General features: G+C 40.8%; 1 long non-coding RNA gene across 2 annotated transcripts in view; it reads right to left on the bottom strand.

The window, feature by feature from the left end:
- Positions 1-5,019: 5,019 nt before the first annotated feature.
- The window catches only part of LOC105378071 (uncharacterized), a 59,237-nt gene continuing 52,104 nt past the window's right edge, over positions 5,020-12,152 (bottom strand). For both annotated transcript variants that reach the window (XR_943139.3, XR_943136.3), the window contains 2 exons: positions 7,434-7,559; positions 5,020-5,209 (listed from right to left, as the gene is read on the bottom strand). This is a non-coding gene — a long non-coding RNA (uncharacterized LOC105378071). The remainder of the gene's footprint in view (positions 5,210-7,433; positions 7,560-12,152) is intronic.

Below are 12,152 nucleotides of genomic sequence, written 5' to 3'. Positions count from 1 at the left end.
TAGTGCTGCATGGAGATCATAAGAGTGAGCCTGGAGCCAGGCTTCTGGGGTTCAAAGCCCAGTTTTATCCCCTGCTATGTCAGTGAACTTGGACACTGTTCTTAGCTTCTCTGAGCTGCAGTTTTCTGAAATTTATGTAATAGTAACAGCAGTCACCTTACAGGAGCATAGTGAAGCTTTAAGGAGTCAATGCCTAGGTTAGTCTCCTAGGGTTGTCGTAACAAAGTGCTGTTAACAGCATGGCGTAAACAACAGAATTGTGTTCTCCTGCAGTTCTGGAGGCTAGAAGTCTGAGGTCTAGGTGTTAGCAGGGTTGGCTTCTGAGGGTTGTGAAGGAAGGATCTGTTCCATTCCTCTCTCCTAGCTTCCGGTAGCCTTGGGTTGCAGATGGCATTCTTTCTGTCTCTTCACATCATCTTCCCTCTGTGCACATCTGTCTCTGTGTGCAAATCCCCCCGTTTTAAAAGGACACCAGTCATTTTGGATTAGAGTCCACCTTAATGGCCTCATCTCAACTAGATTACTTCTGAAGACTTCATATCCAAATAAGGTCACATTCTGAGATATTTGGGGTTAGTCCATTGCATCTTTTTTTGTGGGGATACAATTCAACCCATGACAATGCCTAGGAGTGCCAAAAATATGGCACATGGTGCATTAACTAAATATGGATAATAAGTATTAGGTCAAACCCTATAGAATATAGATATTTGACTATTTTACCTACAAAATGGTAATATAACATGATTTAGCATATTTTTTCTTTGCTTTTTTTTCAACAATCTCTGTCTGGGTGCTCATCGTTCCTGACACAACTCGACATTTTCTGGGCAGCCCCCGTGAGACAGGTTGTGGTGCAGGCAGGAGAAGGGTGGCTGTGCTGATTCACTCTGCCTCTCCAGTTCTGACCAATCTTCTATTTCAACTCTGGGATTCTTTCTTTAATCTTCATCTTCTGAATGATGTAGCTTTACTGTGAAACTGTCCAAGTGTAATTATCAGGCCTGTCATTGGTAAGGAACCCTTCCCAAGGCTCTGGGAGAGGCCCCAGACATGTATTGACATGTTAATATTTGATTTTTAAAACTTTCACAAAGAAGACATTTTAAACTTCAGTCAATTAAGGCCACGATGTCTTTGCACTCCAACTTCTCTTCCTTCTCCTCCTCTTGGGCTGTATTGGAGCCGCCGTGGACAATTTTGAGATGACCCAAGGAGAAGATGAGATGGGCGTATGTTTGCTGCAAGTGGAGTGGAATACACTTCTGTGATTTGCAGTCCCTTCCATGTATAATGGAGTATTGCTGGCTGTGCAAGTGGAGAAACAACTGGGAATGCCAACTTGAGGAGCGTCTGGTGGACACCATCTTGAATCCAGCACTCTCTCCATCCCCAGCCAGAAGTGTGTGTTGGTGGTGGGGGAGAGACAAGTTAGAAACAAGGTTAGTATGGAGCCCCGGGTCGGTTTGTGAAAATTTCACCAAATGTGTTACATTGTTAAGAGAAGATTTGGTTCTTACCAACACCCAGTCAAAATGGAGGTTCTCTCTTGCCAAGAATGTATTTGTTAATGCCTCTTTCTATCAACCATGCTAGAGGGAAGACGAAGCCATCTTTCTGTTCTCTGTATGGAATATATTAAACCATTCTTGTCTTATGCAGAGGGGTTAAAAGAACATCCAGCAAAGTTATGAAGAAAAGTATTATAGGAGTATGCTAGTTATTTAGTTAATAAAAACATTAATGGTGCTGTTGGATTTTTATGATCTGTGTTGAATTTATCAGCTTAAATTGTGTATATAATTTGTTGAGATTTCTTTTCTCAATAATGTATAAAATATACTTCTACAACAATTCTATATTTATAATTTTGTACTCTTTTTCTTCAAGAGGGGCCCTAAGATTGTAATATCTTCCAGTCCACTAAGGCTAGATCCTTTGATAGCTCTTGGCTTCTTTATCTTAAGATCTGGCTGCTCTTTGTGGCATCCAACTAATTCTTTTTTATCATATTCAAGCCATTTTAATATCCAGTGATAAAATGAATATTATTTGAATATGCTGCTGACTCACAGATAAATGATGGTGTTATCGTATAGGGAGAAGTGCTCTGAGGCCTTCATGTCCCCGCAGGCTCAGGCCATTTGAGTGAATCTGTGGCAGTAGTATCTTTCCTGTATGTGCTGACCATCTTGGTATGAATGGAGGAATTGGTTATTTATTTATAGCATGGGTTGCTATTGCACTCATGGAACAATTAAACAATGTCTTCTTAATTCTACAAACTCCTATGTTTTATTAATGTTCAAATAAATTGATATTTTATTAAAACATAAGTGAGTTCTAGTCCTAAGTAGGTGACATTTGGCTATTGTTGATGATATTTTTTATTTTATAAAAATTTTCTATGCCTGTTTCTTATGCATAGAATGTTGAAAAGGTCATAAATAATGACATTATTTGTTTGTGGAACATGCTGTTAGGACTGGGCCTGTTCCATAGTTAGAGAAAACGGATAAAAATTTCTAAGCAGATTTGTTCCCCCAAACCCACTCTTGTTGGCATTTGTTTGTTATTTGAGATTATATTTGGTTATTTTACTTGAGCTAAATGCATTTCAACCTTATTTTATATGGCACTTTTAGCTTCAGAACGATGAAAATTTATGTATTTTGGTTCTAAGAAAAGCCACAATAAAAGGATTTTAGATATTTAAGTGACTAAGTAGGGTATAGCTAGAAAAGGCTGGGCTACCTTTAATTCTGTGACTATCCTGAGTATCGCTGAATGTTGGGGCAGCCAAAGTGTGTTGATATCAATAAAAGAAATAGCCAGTTCAATGTTAACGTGTCTGCATGTTTAAATGTTTGCTCCTCTTCCTCTTCCTAGGGTGGACTACACGTTCCACCTCATGCCTGTACCACAAGAGACAACAAAATTACACAGTTCTGGTGAGGATTGCAAATCATAAGACTCTTGAAATAACATTTTCTGGCTTTGCCTTCAATTGTTGCAAATCTTACAGAGTTGTCCTAAAATTATTCAAATTGTGTTATAAAAGGGAAACAACATAACAAGAACGATGTCAGTGTCACATCAAAATGACTATAATGCCATATAAAAAGAAAAACAACTTTTAAATTTGATTTCATCCATTCATTATTGGAAACATACTTTTAGATACAGAAAGCTTTCTAGTCATATGGCCTAACTTGAGTTCTGGAGCATAAGACTCACTCTATCCCAAACATTGCCCGATGGGTTAAAATAGAATCATTCATGTTTTCAATCTACAAATCTTTCCTGAGCTGCTGCTATGTGTTGGGCACAGTTTTTGCTGTTAGGGGGATAATGGTCCGTGAGGCACTGGGCTCTTCATCCTCGGAAAGCTTCATTTTTAGAGTGATGAAAAATAAACCACTGAACAAATACATACGTCATAGAAGTATTGCGTAAATACAGAAAAATAGAGTAAGAGGACAGAGCCTGAGGAGAAGGCATGGCAGAAAGAATTATCTGAGAAGGCTTCTCTGAGGTGCTGACATTTGAGTAGAGAAGTGAGATGCAGTGAAGGGGAGGGAGTTATGTGAGGTTCTAACAGAAGAGCTTTCCAGATGGTTGGAACAGCACATGCCAATGTCTTGAGGTGGGAACAAGCATGGCTTCTTCAGGGAAGAGCAAAAGACTAGTGTGGCGAAAATGGAGTGACTGGTTGCTCATGTTGGGGACATGGTGTAGGAGAAGCCAAGCGGGGAAGGTGTGTGCTTTGATATCCAGTGTAAAAAGATTGCTGGTTGCCATGTGGAAAAGATACTGTAGGAGCTGGAGCAGCCTTTAGCCATTAGTGTCTGCCAAGAAACCGTGCCAAAAGGTAGTGCAGTCATCCCTTGATATCTGTGGTTATCAGGACCCTCTTCCTTGGATACCAACAATCCACAGATGACACAACTCCCTGCTATAAAATGGAGCAGTATTTGCTTATCACCTACACACATCCTCGCGTATACTTTAAATCATCTCTATATTACTTATACCTACTACAATGTAAATGTTATATAATAAGTTATTATGCTATATTGTTTAGGGAATAATGACAAAGAAAAAAGTGTGCATGTTCAGTACTGATGAAATTTTTTAAAAAAATATTTCCTATCTGCACTTGGTTGAATCCACAGGTGTGGAACCTATGGATACAGAGGGCTGATGGTAGTTTAAAGCTAGCCATGCATTTAACTCCCAAGTCTCTGGGTCAACAATTTGAGCTGGACTTTGTAGGCAATCTCCTTGGCTCAAATATTTCAGTTCTGAGGAGCAAGGTATTGATGGAATTTTGTGTGGTTAGAGAAGTCTTCATGGAGGAGCTAAGACTTGAGCTGTCTCTGCAAATGTGGTTGGGCATTCTCGGGGAGGGAAAGCTTGAACGAAGGAAGCAAGGCATGATGCATGTGGTGTGCTGGTGAAAGGAGGGAGAACAGCCTGGCTAGAGATGTGATGGGCTAGGGAAGTGCTGTAAAGGTGGCTGGGGACAGCCAGGCTCTGGAGGGACTGGATGGTAAGAGCGTTTAAGCTCTGAGGTGGGAGGATATAGCCACAGAAGACCTTTGACCATGAGAGCAATGCGGGGGACCCAGAAGAAGCTGTAGTGCTGAGTCTCTGTCTACGTCTTATGTTAGATGAGGGGGACTGGATGGGAGCTAGGGGTGTTTGCCCTGGAGTGATCATCACAGGATTAGGAAGTGACTATGCAAGCTGACTTGTAAGACAAGGCAAAAGGATTTGCTGGTGGGTTAAGGAGGGGAGGGATTTATAAAAGCTCATCTCTTGCTAACATTTCCTAAAAATATGTTCTCTGTTCCACCATAGAATAAGATGAACTGTTAAGTTCCATTGCATCAGGGATGTTCAAAGAAATGGAAACAACTCCAGGCATTTCAAGAAGGAAGGAATTTAATACAGGAGATGACTTAGCTTTGAGAGAGGCAGCAGGCTGTAAGGTCTCCAGCAGATGCAGCTGCCTCCAGAACTCTTGCGGCTCACCCAAAATCGCACATCTGCCAAAGCCCACATGTTCCCCTCACTGCCAGAGGAGCACCACTGTGATGACCGCTTCTCTTCTGCCTTCCAAGTCACATGTGAGTGCTCCTTCTGAGTAGAATCTGACCAGGATCTTGGAAAATGTACATTTTGGATGTCCTGCTCTGCAGCATAGCTGGGGGATGATAGGAGGAGAAAATGGTGTCCAGGAGTCAACAGCACTGTGACTCAGCTAGGTCTTCCCTTCCTCCCTTCATCCCAATTCTAATTCCTGCAGAGACCCTGGTCCTGTTTTACAAGACTCCTTTTAGCAGAATTTGGTCAAAGTCATCATGGCACTCCTATAAGCAATTACAAAGTGATATGGTTTGGCTCTGAGTCCCCATCCAAATCTCATCTGGAATTGTAATCTCTATAGTCCCCACATGTCAAGGGAGGGACCTAGAGGGAGGTGATTTTATCATGGGGTGGTTTCCCCCATACTGCTCTCATGATAATGAGTGAGTTCTCATGAGAGCTGATGGTTTTATAGGGGGTCCTTCCCACTTTGCTTGCTCTTCTCTCTCCTTTTGATTTGTGAAAAAGGTGGCTGCTTCCCCTTCTGCCACAATTGTAAGTTTCCTGAGGCTTCCCCAGCCATGCTGAACTGTGAGTCAATTAAACCTCTTTTGTTTATAAATTGCCCAGTCTTGGCTAGTATCTTTATAGTAGTGTGAAAACGGACTAATACACAAAGATTATTTTTAAAGGCCACTTAGCAGTGTTTCTTATTGTTTCCTATTATGGAGCAAGACTGGATAGAACATAGGGTAAAATAATGTCTAGGGTTTCAGGTAGACTAGTTTATACTTGCCTTATATATTTTTTCAGCATATATATGTATGTATATTTACATATGTGTATTTATTAACATATGGTTATGACTGGGCCACTTGTTGGTTAACTGTCTGTGTGCATGCGTGTGTGCTTTGACTTCCTGGTTTCTCACAGTCCATTCTGCTTGCCTGCTTCCCTCATCATTCCTGTACCTTTACAGTGGCCTACAAACACATCCAGAGGTGGGGAGGGGATGCTCAGAAACATTTGGAAGAGCTCATTAGGTAAAGTCTTCTGTTTCCTTTCTTCTTAATGCCTCGGTGGAGCAAGAAAGGAAAAAATAAAGGAGAACAGACACTAAGAAAACTCAGAACTAAAGCTCTTCAAAAGCCAAGACAGAGGTAGATTGTCTTGGTTGGATTCTTGAGTCTATTTTGCTGTTATGCATGTCAATTAAGATTGCCCAGTGGTTATTCTCACACTACCTTGGCAACCCTAATTCTTCTCTTCCTTTATTCTGCAAATATTTTTAGGGACTTCTTGTATGCCAGGAATTATTGTAGAATTAGAAGTTGAACATACAGGGTCTTGACTCTCAAAACTTCAGTTTAATGTGAGAATATGTGTCAGTAAACAACTACAATATAGTATGGGCTTTGCATAACAGGATCATAAACTTATTTAAAGAGAAAACTTAGCCCTCTATGTTCTATAGTGGTCTTTTCTGCAGGTCCCCGTCCAACTTGATCTGTGTTGTGTGTCTACATCTATGTGTGTGTTGGCTTTAACTAGTTCATTATCTCAACCTAGCTAGTGAAATTAGTTACTAAGTTAAATAGTCAATTAAGACTCGTTAATTTAGCTCCATCTCTTCTGGCATAAATCAACTTTTATAAGTAATTTAATTCCTTTCCAGTATATGTTTAGCGTTTTAGTTTTCTTCCCTTTCATTGTGACCTATTCCAAAATGGCATGAGTGTCTGGGAGTGGGGATTGACTCACTCGTGGTCTTGTGGAGGTGGGGAAGAAAAATGTCTTGTAGACACATTTGTTGGACCCTTTGTTGTCCTTTATGTTCCCCAGGCTCTGCATGCAGTGACCTCTGCCCACCTATCACTAAGGATGGTGACGGACAGATGGACTTGTGCCCCATGTTATCTTGGCCTCAGGGTCTTTCTCTGCTGACTGGGCTCTCCCTCAGTCCTTCCTGGTACTGCAGGAACCCCCTGGGGCTTGGAGGCCAAGGCTGCCCAGAGGTCCTTGGCTATTTGGTGACCTTCCCACCCTTTTCCACATTACCATTCCCCTCTCTACTCACTCCCTGGCAAGCATCATCAGGTACCTTCCCTTTCTCCACAGGGCAGGTGGGGCTGCTTCTGCCACAGAAGTTGAGGGATGCCTGAGAATGATAACCAAAGCTCTTTCTTCCTCACCACAGTGCGCTGCCATTTTTACTCAGTGCAGCACACCATGTTGCTAAAGGGGCATCAAGCCCAGCAGTCTCATCTGAATTCCAAATAGAAACTGGGGCACACACAAAACCCATGTCCTTTGATTTCTTCCAACCTAATCCTCCAACCTACCTGGTAGGTGGGAAACCATGACACACAGATGTTACGAATCAGTGTGACCTGCCTGCCTTCAGCTTCTCTTTGTCCTTCTACTCTCTTCTGGGCTAGAAAGGTCCAGATTTCCATTTCCCATTCTCCCTGGAAAAGACATTTTCTTTGTCATATGTTCTTTCTTGATAGAGGAGTGCTATGGTTTGAGTGTATCCCCCAAGGTTCATGTGTTGAAACTTAATCCCCAATGCAACAGTGTTGAGAGGTGGGACCTTTAAGAGGTGATTAAGTCAGGAGGGATCTGCCCTCTTGAATGGCTTAATGCTGTTATTGTGGGAGTGAGTTCCTGATAAAAGGATGAATTTGGCCCCATTCTGTTCCCCCTCTCTCTCCTGTGCTCTTGCCATGTAATGCCTTCTGCCATGTTATGACACAGGAAGAAGACCCTCACCAGATATGACCCCTCAATCTTTTTTTTTTTTTCTTTCTCACCTTTTTTTTTTTTTAATTATACTTTAAGTTTTAGGGTACATGTGCACATTGTGCAGGTTAGTTACATATGTATACATGTGCCATGCTGGTGCGCTGCACCCACTAACTCGTCATCTAGCCTTAGGTATATCTCCCAATGCTATCCCTCCCCGCTCCCCCCACCCCACCACAGTCCCCAGAGTGTGATATTCCCCTTCATGTGTCCATGTGCTCTCATTGTTCAATTCCCACCTATGAGTGAGAATATGCGGTGTTTGGTTTTTTGTTCTTGCGATAGTTTACTGAGAATGATGATTTCCAATTTCATCCATGTCCCTACAAAGGACATGAACTCATCATTTTTTATGGCTGCATAGTATTCCATGGTGTATATGTGCCACATTTTCTTAATCCAGTCTATCATTGTTGGACATTTGGGTTGGTTCCAAGTCTTTGCTATTGTGAATAATGCCGCAATAAACATACATGTGCATGTGTCTTTATAGCAGCATGATTTATAGTCATTTGGGTATATACCCAGTAATGGGATGGCTGGGTCAAATGGTATTTCTAGTTCTAGATCCCTGAGGAATCGCCACACTGACTTCCACAATGGTTGAACCAGTTTATAGTCCCACCAACAGTGTAAAAGTGTTCCTATTTCTCCACATCCTCTCCAGCAGCTGTTGTTTCCTGACTTTTTAATGATTGCCATTCTAACTGGTGTGAGATGATATCTCGCAGTGGTTTTGATTTGCATTTCTCTGATGGCCAGTGATGATGAGCATTTTTTCATGTGTTTTTTGGCTGCATAAATGTCTTCTTTTGAGAAGTGTCTGTTCATGTCCTTTGCCCACTTTTTGATGGGGTTGTTTGTTTTTTTCTTGTAAATTTGTTTGAGTTCATTGTAGATTCTGGATATTAGCCCTTTGTCAGATGAGTAGGTTGCAAAAATTTTCTCCCATGTTGTAGGTTGCCTGTTCACTCTGATGGTAGTTTCTTTTGCTGTGCAGAAGCTCTTTAGTTTAATTAGATCCCATTTGTCAATTTTGGCTGTTGTTGCCATTGCTTTTGGTGTTTTGGACATGAAGTCCTTGCCCATGCCTATGTCCTGAATGGTAATGCCTAGGTTTTCTTCTAGGGTTTTTATGGTTTTCGGTCTAACGTTTAAATCTTTAATCCATCTTGAATTGATTTTTGTATAAGGTGTAAGGAAGGGATCCAGTTTCAGCTTTCTACATATGGCTAGCCAGTTTTCCCAGCACCATTTATTAAATAGGGAATCCTTTCCCCATTGCTTGTTTTTCTCAGGTTTGTCAAAGATCAGATAGTTGTAGGTATGCGGCGTTATTTCTGAGGGCTCTGTTCTGTTCCATTGATCTATAACTCTGTTTTGGTACCAGTACCATGCTGTTTTGGTTACTGTAGCCTTGTAGTATAGTTTGAAGTCAGGTAGCATGATGCCTCCAGCTTTGTTCTTTTGGCTTAGGATTGACTTGGCGATGCGGGCTCTTTTTTGGTTCCATATGAACTTTAAAGTAGTTTTTTCCAATTCTATGAAGAAAGTCATTGGTAGCTTGCTGGGGATGGCATTGAATCTGTAAATTACCTTGGGCAGTATGGCCATTTTCACGATATTGATTCTTCCTACCCATGAGCATGGAATGTTCTTCCATTTGTTTGTATCCTCTTTTATTTCCTTGAGCAGTGGTTTGTAGTTCTCCTTGAAGAGGTCCTTCACATCCCTTGTAAGTTGGATTCCTAGGTATTTTATTCTCTTTGAAGCAATTGTGAATGGGAGTTCACTCATGATTTGGCTCTCTGTTTGTCTGTTGTTGGTGTATAAGAATGCTTGTGATTTTTGTACATTGATTTTGTATCCTGAGACTTTGCTGAAGTTGCTTATCAGCTTAAGGAGATTTTGGGCTGAGACGATGGGGTTTTCTAGATAAACAATCATGTCATCTGCAAACAGGGACAATTTGACTTCCTCTTTTCCTAATTGAATACCCTTTATTTCCTTCTCCTGCCTGATTGCCCTGGCCAGAACTTCCAACACTATGTTGAATAGGAGCGGTGAGAGAGGGCATCCCTGTCTTGTGCCAGTTTTCAAAGGGAATGCTCCCAGTTTTTGCCCATTCAGTATGATATTGGCTGTGGGTTTGTCATAGATAGCTCTTATTATTTTGAAATACGTCCCATCAATACCTAATTTATTGAGAGTTTTTAGCATGAAGGGTTGTTGAATTTTGTCAAAGGCTTTTTCTGCATCTATTGAGATAATCATGTGGTTTTTGTCTTTGGCTCTGTTTATATGCTGGATTACATTTATTGATTTGCATATATTGAACCAGCCTTGCATCCCAGGGATGAAGCGCACTTGATCATGGTAGATAAGCTTTTTGATGTGCTGCTGGATTCGGTTTGCCAGTATTTTATTGAGGATTTTTGCATCAATGTTCATCAAGGATATCGGTCTAAAATTCTCTTTTTTGGTTGTGTCTCTGCCCGGCTTTGGTATCAGAATGATGCTGGCCTCATAAAATGAGTTAGGGAGGATTCCCTCTTTTTCTATTGATTGGAATAGTTTCAGAAGGAATGGTACCAGTTCCTCCTTGTACCTCTGGTAGAATTCAGCTGTGAATCCATCTGGTCCTGGACTCTTTTTGGTTGGTAAACTATTGATTATTGCCCCAATTTCAGCTCCTGTTATTGGTCTATTCAGAGATTCAACTTCTTCCTGGTTTAGTCTTGGGAGAGTGTATGTGTCGAGGAATGTATCCATTTCTTCTAGATTTTCTAGTTTATTTGCGTAGAGGTGTTTGTAGTATTCTCTGATGGTAGTTTGTATTTCTGTGGGATCAGTGGTGATATCCCCTTTATCATTTTTTATTGTGTCTATTTGATTCTTCTCTCTTTTTTTCTTTATTAGTCTTGCTAGCGGTCTATCAATTTTGTTGATCCTTTCAGAAAACCAGCTCCTGGATTCATTGATTTTTTGAAGGGTTTTTTGTGTCTCTATTTCCTTCAGTTCTGCTCTGATTTTAGTTATTTCTTGCCTTCTGCTAGCTTTTGAATGTGTTTGCTCTTGCTTTTCTAGTTCTTTTAATTGTGATGTTAGGGTGTCAATTTTGGATCTTTCCTGCTTTCTCTTGTGGGCATTTAGTGCTATAAATTTCCCTCTACACACTGCTTTGAATGCGTCCCAGAGATTCTGGTATGTTGTGTCTTTGTTCTCGTTGGTTTCAAAGAACATCTTTATTTCTGCCTTCATTTCATTATGTACCCAGTAGTCATTCAGTAGCAGGTTGTTCAGTTTCCATGTAGTTGAGTGGCTTTGAGTGAGATTCTTAATCCTGAGTTCTAGTTTGATTGCACTGTGGTCTGAGAGATAGTTTGTTATAATTTCTGTTCTTTTACATTTGCTGAGGAGAGCTTTACTTCCAACTATGTGGTCAATTTTGGAATAGGTGTGGTGTGATGCTGAAAAAAATGTATATTCTGTTGATTTGGGGTGGAGAGTTCTGTAGATGTCTATTAGGTCCACTTGGTACAGAGCTGAGTTCAATTCCTGGGTATCCTTGTTGACTTTCTGTCTCGTTGATCTGTCTAATGTTGACAGTGGGGTGTTAAAGTCTCCCATTATTAATGTGTGGGAGTCTAAGTCTCTTTGTAGGTCACTCAGGACTTGCTTTATGAATCTGGGTGCTCCTGTATTGGGTGCATATATATTTAGGATAGTTAGCTCCTCTTGTTGAATTGATCCCTTTACCATTATGTAATGGCCTTCTTTGTCTCTTTTGATCTTTGTTGGTTTAAAGTCTGTTTTATCAGAGACTAGGATTGCAACCCCTGCCTTTTTTTGTTTTCCATTGGCTTGGTAGATCTTCCTCCATCCTTTTATTTTGAGCCTATGTGTGTCTCTGCACATGAGATGGGTTTCCTGAATACAGCACACTGATGGGTCTTGACTCTTTATCCAACTTGCCAGTCTGTGTCTTTTAATTGGAGCATTTAGTCCATTTATATTTAAAGTTAATATTGTTATGTGTGAATTTGATCCTGTCATTATGATGTTAGCTGGTGATTTTGCTCGTTAGTTGATGCAGTTTCTTCCTAGTCTCGATGGTCTTTACATTTTGGCATGATTTTGCAGCGGCTGGTACCAGTTTTTCCTTTCCATGTTTAGCACTTCCTTCAGGAGCTCTTTTAGGGCAGGCCTGGTGGTGACAAAATCTCTCAGCATTTGCTTGTCTGTAAAGTATTTTA

This window comes from Homo sapiens, chromosome 6 (assembly GCF_000001405.40).
Source record: "Homo sapiens chromosome 6, GRCh38.p14 Primary Assembly".
NCBI classification, from domain to species: Eukaryota; Metazoa; Chordata; class Mammalia; order Primates; family Hominidae; genus Homo; species Homo sapiens.
The sequence above is the reverse complement of the archived record's forward strand: the minus strand, read 5'-3'. Positions and strand labels throughout refer to the sequence as shown.